This window comes from Homo sapiens, chromosome 8, assembly GCF_000001405.40.
Source record: "Homo sapiens chromosome 8, GRCh38.p14 Primary Assembly".
In the NCBI taxonomy this organism is placed as follows: domain Eukaryota; kingdom Metazoa; phylum Chordata; class Mammalia; order Primates; family Hominidae; genus Homo; species Homo sapiens.
Genome location: NC_000008.11, coordinates 137,808,717 through 137,824,533, shown reverse-complemented (window position 1 = coordinate 137,824,533; position 15,817 = coordinate 137,808,717). Strand labels below are relative to the sequence as shown.

The 15,817-nt window shown below is 37.4% G+C and overlaps 1 long non-coding RNA gene across 1 annotated transcript in view; it reads left to right on the top strand.

Annotated features, from left to right (window-relative positions):
* Positions 1–14,860, top strand: part of LOC401478 (uncharacterized) — a 273,872-nt gene extending 259,012 nt beyond the window's left edge. Inside the window, exons 6-8 of the long non-coding RNA NR_161374.1 lie at positions 414–511; positions 1,213–1,399; positions 11,600–14,860. This is a non-coding gene — a long non-coding RNA (uncharacterized LOC401478). The remainder of the gene's footprint in view (positions 1–413; positions 512–1,212; positions 1,400–11,599) is intronic.
* The last annotated feature ends 957 nt before the right edge of the window (positions 14,861–15,817 follow it).

Here is a 15,817-nt window from a genome sequence, read left to right as displayed (position 1 = left end):
TCACATTGGAGGTTAGGGCTTCAACACACAAATTTGGGAGGACATTCAGTTCATGAACTCCCATTTATTGTTTGTTTTTGTTTGTTTTGTTTTGTTTTGAGACAGAGTCTCACTCTGTTATCCAGGCTCTCAGGCTGGAGTGCAGTGATGCGATTTTGGCTTACTGCAACCTCTGCCTCCTGGGTTCAAGCAATTCTCCTGCCTCAGCCTCCAAGTAGCTGAGATTACAGGCATGCGCCACCATGATCGGCTAATTTTTTGTTGTATTTTTAGTAGAGATGGGGTTTTGCCATGTTGGCCAGGCTGGTCTGGAACCCCTGACCTCAAGTGATCAGCCCTCCTCAGCCTCCCAAAGCTGTTCATTGTTACTCAAAGCTTAACTCTTGGGGCTGCTAACTCCCCTGCATTTCTAGGTTGCATGTAGAGATGAACCCCCAGTGGATTCCTGTGATGTCCTTTGCAGCAGTGTCAACAGTGAAGTCCCAGATGACACGACTGGCAAGGATCTGAGGTGGGGCACTAGCAGGATGCAATGCATCTTAAAATAGGGATTGTTGCAATTGTGGCTAAAATAAGGGACAGGAAAGTCTGAGAGGATCTGAAATATTACACAAGATGTATTCAAGGCAGGCAGCTATATGCAGATTTATTCTGCATGTTTATTTTTAAAAAACAAAGGCACAAAAGAATCATCCAATGCTTAGTGAATGTTTGCCTCCTTCTCTACCTTGCCTTTTCTCTTCAGATGTATTGCATTCCTCATTCTTTACAATTAAAGTTAAAATCATTAGAAGAGCAGCCCTTACACCCAATCCTCAACTAGTTACAGGTGATGGAGCCAAAGAGTTAATATAATTACAAGACCTATGCAGTTCATCTTTCTTTAAAAAAACGTGCTCTTAATAATCGACACATGTGCTGAGTTTTAATAATTTTCCAATAACTATCACTCCAGGAGCCCATATTAAAGCCATATCACAGTGGGTTCATCCCCATGAATGCTCTCCACCTCAGTGAAAATGCCTTCAATCCAATTAGTCTGTGCAATTTAATTTGTTCAATGCAAATCACTAGGGTTTAATTGAATTTCATTAGACACAAATCAATAGGAATCAATTTCAAGAGATTATCCTCAACATTCATCAATAGAATTAAATTAAAATTATAGAAGATTTACCTAAATGGCTGACATGTTTCTAAAATTTATTGCAGGTTACTACGGTATCCGGTGGTTAGTGGTCATTTTGGAGGTTATGTACAGACTACTAATAACTTGCTCTCACTATTGGAGCTGGAGAAGAACTTAAGAAAAAAATAAATGCAAATTATACCATATACTCTTAAAGAACTTCACAAACAGATGGTTTATCTTCCCAACACCCAGAAAAAGTAGGCCACAGTAAGTTTCTCTTCAAAGGCGAGACTGAGACTGAGTTAATGTTGGGTGACTTGAGTATAGGTCTCAAGAATGCTAGGATGTGGATGTCTGTCCAATGACATTTTGATGTCTCCACTTTCTGCAAACTCTCATCTCTCACCTGCACCATGGAAAGTATTTGCAGGCATCTGTCTGCTTTTGCTTTTGTCCTTCAGCTATGTGTGTTCCTGGTAGAACAACCAGGGTGATCCTTTTAAAACATAATCATGATAGCTAATTTTGTAAATTGCTTACAATGTGCTAAGCTCTGTTTTAAGTACTTTTATGTGTTAACTCTTAGTTTTACATCTACTTTAAGTGCAGGTGCTGTTACTATCTCCTACTCACATATACGGAAGGTGAGGCACGAAATGTTTGCATTAGTGAAGGTTCTCCTGAGAAGCAAAACCAACAGGTTACACATAGTGAAGAATGATGATGAGCCTCACATGACTATGGAGGCTAAGAAGCCCCACAATCTGTCATCTGTAAGCTGGAGATCCAGGAAAACCAGTGGCATCTGAAAGGAAATTAAATATTGGGATCCCAAACTCATGAAGCCAAAGGGAAAAGTCAAGCTGGGAACTAGGTCACGCAAACCTGCCACATTCTTTTGGTTCCTAAATAAGATGGCTACAAGATGAAAAGCTACATGCTTACCCTATATTTTGCCCACAAGGAAATTCCTAGTGAGCTGCAAGACCTTTTAAGGTGTTTTTTAGTGTTAAAATTTTACCATAGCAATGTAAATTGATAGCTTATTTTAACAGATGCAGTCACACCCCTGCCCCCCCGACCGGTCTACTAGACACAAATACATATCTGATTGTTCCCCTGTCCATTTTGTCTATGTTGTCTCATATAAAATGCAGATACCCTGCATTTTTCCTCTGCTTCATTTGTCTATGTCATCTTATGTAAAAAACGAGGGTTCACCGAGCCAGACAAAGGCATGAATGACGATTTTTCTCTACCCACCTCTTACATGAAAATTGTATAATTCTCAATATCCCTCCCTTTCCCCTTTAAAATTGGAGCCCTCAAAATCATCTTTGGAGAAAGGCATAGACCTGTCTCCCAGGTGCACGTCCTTAACTTTGGCAAATAAGCCTCCTAAAATGATTGAGGCTTGTGCAGTCATTTTTCTTGATTGGCAGGTGTAACCTCAATTCTTCTCTGAAGTCCTGAAAACCAGGGGAGCCTATGGTGTAAACCCTAGTCAAAGGGCGGGAGAAGACCAGTGTCCCAGCTCAAACAGGCAGGCAGGAACGGAACAAATCCTCCCTCTTGTACTTTTTTTCTATTTAGGCCTTCAATGGATTGGATGATGCCCACCCACACTGGGAGAGCCATGTTCTTTTACTGAGTCCACCAATTCACATGCTAATCTCATCCAATACACCTTTATAGACACATCCAGAAATAACATTTATTCCAGGCACCCCAAGGCCCAGTCAGTTTGACACATAAAAGTAACCATTGCAGGGGTTAAGTAACCTGACCAAGGTTACTAAGCAAATAATTATCAGAGCCAGGGTTTAAACTCAGGCAGTCTGATTCTATAGCCTGTTTACTTATCCTGAATATGATTATATCACCGCTTAAAGTCCAGCATTGGCTCCCCATTAAAATTTAAAACAAAATCTGGACTCCTTAAGAAAGGCAGAATAATTGTCTGCTGCCTTCTGTCCGATCTCTTTAATCACTCCTAAACTCCCTTCCAGCCACATGAGCCATCCTAAAGTTCCCCAGAGCTACCAAATGTATTCTTTATTGAGAAAAGCCTTGGGAGGGCTTCTTCTCAAATTCAGGTGATGAGTTCCCAGGAAAGAAAGACTTGGTATTCTAAAAAAGGATAACTGAAAAAAAAGAGTAATGAATAGGATACTTACAAAGGTACGGCTTCATTAAAACTAAGAAGGGTCAGTGAATATACCTGGAATGGCAAGTGGGAAAGCTCATTACTATCCTTAACTCTGAAACAGCAAGAGAAGAAACAAGTTATCAGAACTTAGCAATACCTTTAGCTTTGGGGATGGATCAATTGGGAAAATAGTGGTTTACACAGGGGAGAAGCAACTAACAAATTTCAGCAAGGAGGGTGTGGCTTTGAGGTTGATCATCCTGGTCTCATTCTTTTTCCCCTCTGATCTGCTGATCACCTGCTGTTATTGCTCAATAATTGGAGCCAAGTGGTAGTCAGAAGCAACTCAACTGTTGGCCTCTTATATGCGAATATGTGTAAGAAGGGGTGACAGAGTGCTTGTGGAGAGGCAAATAGAATATCCATAACAAAGAAGACTCCCTTTAACATCTTTATTCATGATAGTAAGCTCCCCTATTTCAGTGACTATTAAAATACCTTAGTATGATTTATTTTTCTTGTAAATTGGTTTAAGTTCCTTATAGATGCTGGATATTAGACCTTTGTCAGATGCATACTTTGCAAATATTTTCTCCCATTTTTTAGGTTGTCTCTTTATTCTGCTGGTAGTTTGTTTTGCTGCACAGAAGCTCTTAAGTTTAATTAGATCCCACTTGTCAATTTTTGCTTGTGTCGTGATTGCTTTTGGCATCTTTGTCATGAAATCTTTGCTCATTTTTATGTCTAGAATGGTCTTGCCTAGGTTGTCTTCCAGAACTTTTATAATTTTGGGATTTACATTTACTCTTTAATCAATCTTGAGTTGATTTTTGAATATGCTGTAAGGAAGGGTTCCAGTTTCAATGTTCTGCACATGGCTAGCCAGTTATTACAGCACCATTTATTGAACAGAAAATGCTTTCCCCATTATTTGTTTTTGTCAACCTAGTTGAACATGAGATGGTTGTAGGTGTGCAGCCTTATTTCTGGGCTATTTTGTTCCATTGGAGTACGTGTCTCTTTTTGTACCAGTACCATGCTGTTTTGGTTACTGTAGCCCTGTAGTGTAGTTTTCTGAAGTCAGATAACATGATGCCGCTAGCTTTGTTCTTTTTGCTTAGGATTGCCTTGGCTATTCAGGCTCTTTTTGGTTCCATATGGATTTTAAAATAGTTCTTTCTAGTTCTGCGCAGAATGTTCTTGGTAGTTTGGTAGGAATATCATTGAATCTGTAAATTTCTTTGGGTAGTAGGGCCATTTTAATGATATTGATTCCTCCTGTCCATAAGTCTGGGATGTTTTTACATTTTTTTCTTGATGTCATCTCTGATTTCTCTGAGCAAGAATAGAACAAAAAAACCCATTTAAAAAGTGAGCAAAGACGTGAACAGTCACCTTTCTGAAGAAGACATACATGTTGCCAACAAGGAGATGAAAAAAGGTCAATATCACTGATCATTAGAGACATGCAAATCAAAACCACAATGAGATACTATCTCGCATCAGTCAGAATGAGTATTAATAAAAAGTCAAAAAATAACACATGCTGACAAAGTTGTGGAGAAAAGGGAACACTTATATACTGTTGGTGGAAATATAAATTAGTTCAACCATTATAGAAAGCTGTATGGGAATTCCTCAAAGCTAAAAACAGAACTACCTTTTGACCCAGCAATTCCATTACTGGGTATATACCCAGAGGAATATAAGTCATTCTACCATAAAGGCACATGCCTGCAAATGTTCATTGCAGCACTATTCATAATAGCAAAGACTGAAATCAACCTAAATGTCCATCAATGAGAGGTTGGACAAAGAAAATATGGTACATATGCCCTGTGGAATACTATGCAGCCATTAAAAAAGATTGAAATAATGGTTTTTTTTTTTGTGGCAACATGGAGGGCATCATTCTTAGCAAACTGACACAGGAACGGAAAATCAAATACCACATGTTCTCACTTACAAGTAGGAACTAAATGATGAGAACTCATGGACACACAAAAAAGGAACAGCAGACACTGAGGCCTACTAGAGGGTGGAGGGTGAGAGAAGGGAGAAGAGCAGAAAAAATAACTATTGGGTCCTAGGCTTAGTACCTGGGTGATGAAAAAATCTGTACAACAAACCCCTGTTACACAAGTTTACCTATAAAACAAACCTGCACATATACCTCCAAACCTAAAATAGAAGTTAAAAAAAAAGTATCCTACAGTGTTAAATGGCAACAATTTGTATGCCTTTGTTGTAATATCCCATATTCAAATAAACTATTACTTTATATATCTCCGCATTGTTTTCTTCCACTTAAACATAAGTTCCTCTGGTATGAAAATGATTGCATTTAGTTTGTGGCTCAGTGCATGGATCACTGTCTAGCATTAGAATATTGTTCAAATAAGGTTCTTGAATTCAAGAATAAAATGTTTGAAAAGAGAAATGAGAGAATGAATGGGTCCTAGGTTCAGACCTTTATTAAGTAAATTTTTTTTTGTCAGTTAACTTGGCTATGTCTTTATTCATATTAACTTTTTTAAAAATTTTATTATTATACTTTAAGTTTTAGGGTACATGTGCACAACGTGCAGGTTTGTTACATATGTATACATGTGCCATGTTGGTGTGCTGCACCCATTAACTCGTCATTTAGCATTAGGTATATCCCCTAATGCTATCCCTCCCCCCTCCCCCCACCCCACAACAGGCCCCAGTGTGTGATGTTCCCCTTCCTGTGTCCATGTGTTCTCATTGTTCAATTCCCACCTGTGAGTGAGAACATGAGGTGTTTGGTTTTTTGTCCTTGTGATAGTTTGCTGAGAATGATGGTTTCCAGTTTCATCCATGTCCCTACAAAGGACATGAACTCATCATTTTCTATGGCTGCATAGTATTCCATGGTGCATATGTGCCACATTTTCTTAATCCAGTCTATCGTTGTTGGACATTTAGGTTGGTTCCAAGTCTTTGCTATTGTGAATAGTGCCGCTATAAACATACACATGCATGTGTCTTTATAGCAGCATGATTTATAATCCTTTGGGTATATACTCAGTAATGTGATGGCTGGGTCAAATGGTATTTCTAGTTCTAGATCCCTGAGGAATTGCCACACTGACTTCCACAATGGTTGAACTAGTTTACAGTCCCACCAACAGTATAAAAGTGTTCCTATTTCTCCACATCCTCTCCAGCATCTGTTGTTTCCTGACTTTCTAATGATCGCCATTCTAACTGGTGTGAGATGGTATCTCATTGTTGTTTTGATTTGCATTTCTCTGATGGCCAGTGATGATGAGCATTTTTTCATGTGTCTTTTGGCTGCATAAATGTCTTCTTTTGAGAAGTGTCTCTTCATATCCTTTGCCCACTTTTTGATGGGGTTGTTAGTTTTTTTCTTGTAAATTTGTTTGAGTTCATTGTAGATTCTGGATATTGGCCCTTTGTCAGATGAGTAGGTTGCAAAAATTTTCTCCCATTCTGTAGGTTGCCTGTTCACTCTGATGGTAGTTTCTTTTGCTGTGCAGAAGCTCTTTAGTTTAATTAGATCCCATTTGTCAATTTCGGCTTTTGTTGCCATTGCTCTTGGTGTTTTAGACATGAAGTCCTTGCCCATGCCTATGTCCTGAATGGTATTGCCTAGGTTTTCTTTTAGGGTTTTTATGGTTTTAGGTCTATCATGTAAGTCTTTACTCCATCTTGAATTAATTTTTGTGTAAGGTGTAAGGAAGGGATCCAGTTTCAGCTTTCTACATATGGCTAGTCAGTTTTCCCAGCACCATTTATTAAATAGGGAATCCTTTCCCCATTGCTTGTTTTTGTCATGTTTGTCAAAGATCAGATAGTTGTAGATATGCAGCATTATTTCTGAGGGCTCTATTCTGTTCCATTGATCTATATCTCTGTTTTGGTACCAGTACCATGCTGTTTTGGTTACTGTAGCCTTGTAGTTTAGTTTGAAGTCAGGTAGCGTGTTGCCTCCAGCTTTGTTCTTTTGGCTTAGGATTGACTTGGCAATGTGGGCTCTTTTTTGGTTCCATATGAACTTTAAAGTAGTTTTTTCCAATTCTGTGAAGAAAGTCATTGGTAGCTTGATGGGGATGGTATTGAATCTATAAATTACCTTGGGCAGTATGGCCATTTTCACGATATTGATTCTTCTTACCCATGAGCATGGAATGTTCTTCCATTTGTTTGTGTCCTCTTTTATTTCATTGAGCAGTGGTTTGTAGTTCTCCTTGAAGAGGTCCTTCATGTCCCTTGTAAGTTGGATTCCTAAGTATTTTATTCTCTTTGAAGCAATTGTGAATGGGAGTTCACTCATGATTTGGCTCTCTGTTTGTCTGTTATTGGTGTATAAGAATGCTTGTGATTTTTGTACATTGATTTTGTATCCTGAGACTTTGCTGAAGTTGCTTATCAGCTTGAGGAGATTTTGGGCTGAGACGATGGGATTTTCTAGCTATACAATCATGTCATCTGCAAACAGGGACAATTTGACTTCCTCTTTTCCTAATTGAATACCCTTTATGTCCTTCTCCTGCATGATTGCCCTGGCCAGAACTTCCAACACTATGTTGAGTAGGAGTGGTGAGAGAGTGCATCCCTGTCTTGTGCCCGTTTTCAAAGGGAATGCTTCCAGTTTTTGCCCATTCGGTACGATATTGGCTGTGGGTTTGTCATGGATAGCTCTTATTATTTTGAGATTCGTCCCATCAATACCTAATTTATTGAGAGTTTTTAGCGTGAAGCGTTGTTGAATTTTGTCAAAGGCATTTTCTGCATCTATTGAGATAATCATGTGTTTTTTGTCTTTGGTTCTGTTTATATTCTGGATTACATTTATTGATTTGCATATGTTGAACCAGCCTTGCATCCCAGGGATGAAGCCCACTTGATCATGGTGGATAAGCTTTTTCATGTGCTGCTAGATTTGGTTTGCCAGTATTTTATTGAGGATTTTTGCATTGATGTTCATCAAGGATATTGGTCTAAAATTCTCTTTTTTCGTTGTGTCTCTGCCAGGCTTTGCTATCAGGATGATGCTGGCCTCATAAAATGAGTTAGGGAGGATTCCCTCTTTTTCTATTGATTGGAATAGTTTCAGAAAGAATGGTAACAGCTTCTCTTTGTACCTCTGGTAGATTTCGGCTGTGAATCCATCTGGTCCTGGACTTTTTTTGGTTGGTAAGCTATTGATTATTGCCTCAATTTCAGAGCCTGTTATTGGTCTATTCAGAGATTCAACTTCTTCCTGGTTTAGTCTTGGGAGGATGTATGTGTCGAGGAATTTATCCATTTCTTCTAGATTTTCTAGTTTATTTGCGTAGAGGTGTTTATAGTATTCTCTGATGGTAGTTTGTATTTCTGTGGGATCGGTAGTGGTAGCCCCTTTATCATTTTTCATTGCGTCTATTTGATTCTTCTCTCTTTTCTTCTTTATTAGTCTTGCTAGCGGTCTATCAATTTTGTTGATCTTTTCAAAAAACCAGCTACTGGATTCATTAATTTTTTGTAGGGTTTTTTGTGTGTCTGTTTCCTTCAGTTCTGCTCTGATCTTAGTTATTTCTTGCCTTCTGCTAGCTTTTGAATGTGTTTGCTCTTGCTTCTCTAGTTCTTTTAATTGTGATGTTAGGGTGTCAATTTTAGATCTTTCCTGCTTTCTCTTGTGGGCATTTAGTGCTATAAATTTCCCTCTATGCACTGCTTTGAATGTGTCCCAGAGATTCTGGTATGTTTTGTCTTTGTTCTCGCTGGTTTCAAAGAACATCTTTATTTCTGCCTTCATTTCATTATGTACCCAGTAGTCATTCAGGAGCAGGTTGTTCAGTTTCCATGTAGTTGAGTGGTTTTGAGTGAGTTTCTTAATCCTGAGTTCTAGTTTAATTGCACTGTGGTCTGAGAGACAGTTTGTTATAATTTCTGTTCTTTTACATTTGCTGAGGAGTGCTTTACTTCCAACTATGTGGTCAGTTTTGGAGTAGGTGTGGTGCTGAAAACAATGTATATTCCGTTGATTTGGGGTGGAGAGTTCTGTAGATGTCTATTAGGTCCGCTTGGTGCAGAGCTGAGTTCAATTCCTGGGTATCCTTGTTAACTTTCTGTGTCATTGATCTGTCTAATGTTGACAGTGGGGTGTTAAAGTCTCCCATTATTATTGTGTGGGAGTCTAAGTCTCTTTGTATGTCACTAAGGACTTGCTTTATGAATCTGGATCAAACTACTCTGAGCTACAGGAGGAATTTCAAACCAATGGCAGAGAAGTTAAAAGCTTTGAAAAAAAATTAGATGAATGGATAACTAGAATAACCAATGCAGAGAAGTCCTTAAAGGACCTGATGGAGCTGAAAACCAAGGCACGAGAGCTACGTGACAAATGCAGAAGCCTCAGTAGCCGATGTGATCAACTGGAAGAAAGGGTATCAGTGATGAAAGACGAAATGAATGAAATGAAGAGAGAAGAGAAGTTTGGAGAATAAAGAATAAAAACAAACAAACAAAGCCTCTAAGAAATATGGGACTATGTGAAAAGACCAAATCTACATCTGATTGGTGTACCTGAAAGTGACGGGGAGAATGGAACCAAGTTGGATATTGGATATCCAACTGCAGGATATTATCCAGGAGAACTTCCCCAATCTAGCAAGGCAGGCCAACATTCAAATTCAGGAAATACAGAGAATGCCACAAAGATACTCCTCGAGAAGAGCAACTCCAAGACACATAATTGTCAGATTCATCAAAGTTGAAATGAAGGAAAAAATGTTAAGGGCAGCCAGAGAGAAAGGTCGGGTTACCCACAAAGGAAGCCCATCAGACTAACAGCTGATCTCTGGGCAGAAACTCTACAAGCCAGAAGAGAATGGGGACCACTATTCAACATTACTAAAGAAAAGAATTTTCAACCAACAATTTCATATCCAGCCAAACTAAGCTTCATAAGTGAAGGAGAAATAAAATACTTTACAGACAAGCAAATGCTGAGAGATTTTGTCACCAACAGGCCTGCCCTACAACAGCTCCTGAAGGAAGCACTAAACATGGAAAGGAACAACCAGTGCCAGCCACTGCAAAAACATGCCAAATTGTAAAGGCCATCAAGGCTAGGAAGAAACTGCATCAACTAATGAGCAAAATAACCAGCTAACATCATAATGACAGGATCAAATTCACACATAACAATCTTAACTTTAAATGTAAATGGGCTAAATGCTCCAATTAAAAGACACAGACTGGCAAATTGGATAAAGAGTCAAGACCCATCGGTGTGCTGTATTCAGGAAACCCATCTCACGTGCAGAAACATACATAGGCTCAAAATAAAGGGACGGAGGAAGATCTATCAATAAAATGGAAAACAAAAAAAGGCAGGGGTTGCAATCCTAGTCTCTGATAAAACAGACTTTAAACCAACAAAGATCAAAAGAGACAAAGAAGGCCATTACATAATGGTAAAGGGATCAATTCAACAAGAAGAGCTAACTATCCTAAATATATGTTAAGTAAATTTATGTTGGTAAAATGCACAGGGACTGTTAAGGACTAGGGGCTGATCAGAGTTACACACGTTCCCACCTATTCAGCAGTTCCTGTCTAAGGGAGTGTCTGGCACATGTCGTTCAACATTCTGGAGTCAGCCTCGTTCCTGTCTAGTGTCCCATTTTTAGATGACAAATCACTAGTCTTTGGAATGAAATAATTGAAAGAAATTTTAATGACTACATGGACAAAGGATTCTCAAAACTTTGAATGACAATCATTTGGGAATCTTCTGAAAAATGCATATTCCATGACCTCACTCCAGAACTTCTGTTTCAGTAATCCTACTCTGGGGCTTAAAAATCCACTTTATCTTAAGCTTCCTAAATGACTCAGGGATAGATGGTCATCAGACAAAATTTCCAGAAATGTTGATTTAGACCAACATCCTGCTTACTGTGAGAACCCTCTGTATATCATTTTTCTTGAAGTCTAGTAACTTGATTTCTATCAGTGACAGCAAGTTCACTATGTTATGCCAACAGTGTTCCTAGTCTTAGATTTTGTGCACTGACTTTTTGAGTAGACTTCAAAATTCCACAACATGCACTTCTAGTTAAATATTCTGTTACATTGCAGTTGAAAGCATTTCTCAGTGAAATATTGCAGAGATCCAGTAGGAAAGTAGAAGAAGTTTAAAATATAAAATGGGAGTTGGAGTGGGGAGATGTTAGTCAAAGGATACACAATTTAACTTAGGAGGAATAAGTTCATGTGAGTTATTATATAACACTTTGGCTATAGTTGCTAACAATGTATTATATTATTTATATCCTTTGCAGGAACATGGATGAAGCTGGAAACCATCATTCTCAGCAAACTAACAGAGGAACAGAAAAGCAAACACCGTATGTTCTCACTCATGATTGGGAGTTGAACAATGAGAACACATGGACACAGGGAGGGGAATATTACACACCGGGGCCTATCAGAGCGTGGGAGGCTACGAGAGGGATAGCATTAGGAGAAATACCTAATGTAGATGACGGGTTGATGGGTGCAGCAAACCACCATGGCTCATGTATACCCATGTAACAGACCTACACATTCTGCACATGTATCCCAGAACTTAAAGTATGATTTAAAAATATATATAGAGAGAGAGATATATAAATTGCTGAGAGTGGATTTTAAGTGTTCTCACCACACAACAAAATAAGTATGTGAAGTAAACATATATTAGTTAGCTTGATTTAGCCATTTCACACTATATAAATATTTCAAAACAACATGTTGCACACTATAGACAATTTTTATTGGTCAACTAAAAATAAAATTTTTAAAGGGAGAAAATAAGAGAGAATTGGCATCAGGGTTGCAAAGGAATGAATAAATACATGGGCCATGAAAAACTGATCAATATAAGGGTTTGAGAGGAAGGTGAACAGTTTGCAAAGTTGTAACTTTGAAAGATCTCCCTTATTAATTTATTTGCTCGTTTAAAAGAGTCAGGGTACAATGGAATATTCAACTTAATCTAGAAGAGGTAGAGTGGACTGAAATTAATTTCCCTCTAACATGCATTTGTTGCTCTAATCAACTATCTAGAGCTACACAAAATACATACGATTTTCTAAAATTATTTAAATTCTTGAAGGTAAATGCCATTTCTTCTCTTATAGATGATAGACCTTCAGACTTTCACATGACTCTTTATAAATAGTCCCCATGCTCAAAACGACAAACACCACTCTCTTAGATTTCAACTTAGCAAGGCATCCCAAACTAAACTTCACATCCAAGGGAGAAGGCAAATGAAGGAGAGTAATGACCAGCTATTTGTTTGAGACAATAGGTACATTCATCAGATTACCTCCAAACATCAGCCAAGGGATTTTAGTTTGGAACAAAGATAGTTGGAATATTAATTATTTTCAAATGGTGGAAGAGCTGCCATAGAGAATTAGAGAAAATTTTAAACTAGAAGTTTGCAAAAAATATATTCAAATAATAGCTTTGTTTTTATTCTAAAATGTGACCTTGGCTAAGCCACATAATCTCTCTGGGTCTCTGTATGTGGGAGCTACTGATAATACCTGTATCTCTGTTTCAGGTGATGATCAAAATGCCTATTTTGTGATTTGTGAAATGAAATGTGCTGTAGGCATGTAAGGTGATTTTTACAAATAATTATTTTCTTGTTGTTTTTGAAGTTCCAGAGTACAGGAAAGGAAACAGGAAAAACATAACTGAGGAATAGTTGTTAGGTCGGTGAGACATTGAACCTTCTAACATCTGAAACTGTCCACTAACTGGCAAGAGCATTTCAATAAAAAGCAAACACCTCATCATATTGAATCATAGTGAATATATAAAAAGACACTGTACACATTTCTTCAGATATACATACTGTAATTGTCATTCTAAATTGTTAAAAAATTACTATATATAGTAATTCTAAAATATATAATATATAATACATAAATATATATTATATATATAAATTATATATATATACACACATATATATTAGAATGGATTTCACACTGGGTTTTACTCCCATTATGTGATGCATAAAAAAGTAAACAACAATAAAACAGTTAAATTAATGAGCTTGGTTGGTTTTCAAAACATGTTAGGCCCAATATGTTAGAGAATTAATATAGGGATTTTAAAAATGTGTTAAACTCAACATGTTCTTACTAATAACAGGGGATTTCTGATATCAAGGACCAGTTAATGTGGTTAATATTTTGTATTAGAAGGAAAGGGAAGAGATGTGCTGGGCAAAAGAGGAAAATATAGATTTTTTAAAAATAAATAGAAATCTGAGCTAATATTAATAAGGGTAAAAAAGGAAAAAGTGATAACATCATGTGGAACATTCCAGAAGTTATGTGCAGGGCTCAGTATGGGGGCAACACATCAATAGCATATATATACAAGGCCAACCTCTTCCTCTCCATTCCCAGAAATCTAGTAGTGGGGCACTGTATGTGTACAGGTAACATGTTAAATAGATAGGCTGTGCTGGATGCTATGGTTGCAGAATGTGGTTGAAGAAGAATTGCGAAGCCAACAAAGCAAGGGTTGGGGCAGAGTTTATGAGTTATATGAAGTTTGTGTGGGGACTGAGAATTCTGGATTTTAGACATCCTGTGTCCTGCATGGCAACTCCTCCACCCCCACCAGTCATGTCAGGTGGAGGCCACTATAGCAGATATAGTACGCCTACATTAAGGGAAGGAGGTAGTTCTACGTAATGAAAACTCACTTTCCAAGTTGACCCTTCTTAATCCTCTGCTGGAAAACCAGTGTACTGTGATACCCAAGGGCATGGTTTTATCCTTTGGTGCCACTATTCATCATATCCTCATTGCATTGGAAAAATTAATTGATTACTCTTGACTTCACTTTTCTGTCAAATTAAAATTCCATTACCATTCATTTGAAAAGATCTGATGTGGTTTAAGTGAGATTATATAGTGTGTGGATCATTGCTCAGCATGTGATAAGCACTCAGACATTTTAGCTAAATGAAAACAACACTAATACCAGTACTACTAAAACTGAGCCCTAAAGTAATCACCTGAGTTTTATTTAAACAAAAACATAATTTTCTTCCATCTTTCTGTAAAATTGTTCAACAAGAAAATATTAACATTCATAGATGATTTCAGAGTTTATAGGAACTTTTGCATACAGCTCACTTATCAGAGCAACTCAGTTGGATCCTGTTATTAATTTCCTCACTTTAGAAATGAAGGGACTGAGATCAAGAAAAGGAAGTGACTTGCTCAAGGATACATATACAACAAGTAACCATGCTAAGAATTCTCATTTGATGTGCGATTTCCCCCAATCAGTGACTATAGATATATATAGATACATAGATGTGTATATATATAGATGATAGATAGATACGTAGATGGGGATACAGATACTACACCTGTGTATACCATATCTATGTATGTTTATATGCTATTTGTATGTTCCACTTCGGATATCTTCTCACATTCAGATATCTAGTGTCCACATGTTTTTTTCCCTGGATTCCTCTCGAAACATAATCATATGGCAAATAAAGTGAGTTCTGCAATAAACTTTAAGATTTAATATAATACATTTTCAGGGAGGGTGTGGGCAGAAAAATTGTGTGGCTTTAAGTTTTCTTAGCAAATAAGTGACTTCCCTCCTAAGATGCAGCTGCTTTTCTTCATTTTTTGTAACTGTTTTATGTTTCACGAAATTGCTCTGTCCTGATTTTAACTGTGTCATATTCCAGCTCTCAGAGGGTAGCCAAAATTTGGAAACAAAATGTTGTTTTGCTAATTCCCATTTGTTCTGAGATTTCTCATTTGCTTATACATGACCACATTTAACTTTATAGCCTTCAGAATTTTCCTTATCAGGATTTTTAACTTCTTGCTCGATCAGCCCCAAATCTGGGACATTTGGGTAGGATTTTATTGACTATACCCAGAATATATTAATAGTTTCTACATTAAGGGAAAAAACAACTTAATAAGACAATTGCTAATGATAAGACCAGGTAATTTGTAAAAGCATACATGGGAGACATTTGACAAAATACAAATGCACTAGAAATGAAGGCTATATAAATTAAAGAAGCAGTTAGATTCAATTTTTAATCTACAAGATGAGAGGTTTTAAAATAAATTTAAAAAATTAAAATGATCATATTTTGGGGGGGAAAGATGTTCACTAATACACGAAGATAGGAATACAAATTTCAGAAGTACTTATAAAAAGGAATATATCATCATTTTTAAATCCAAAATATGCTCACCTTTAAATTTATAAATTCATTTTCATAATAGATACATTTGACAATCAATTAGATATTTCTCTCCTACCTTCCTGTCTTATCCTCTGTGTTCTCACTGGGAGAAGAGACAAGCTAAGGAAAGAAGATGGGAAAATGTTTCCAATTTTATTTGAAAGGGAAAAATCCCTATGAAAACAATTACTATGCTGCACAAATTGTAATCCACACTCAAAACGGAAGGCTGTGGATCAAGCTCTCCCAGTCCTGTATG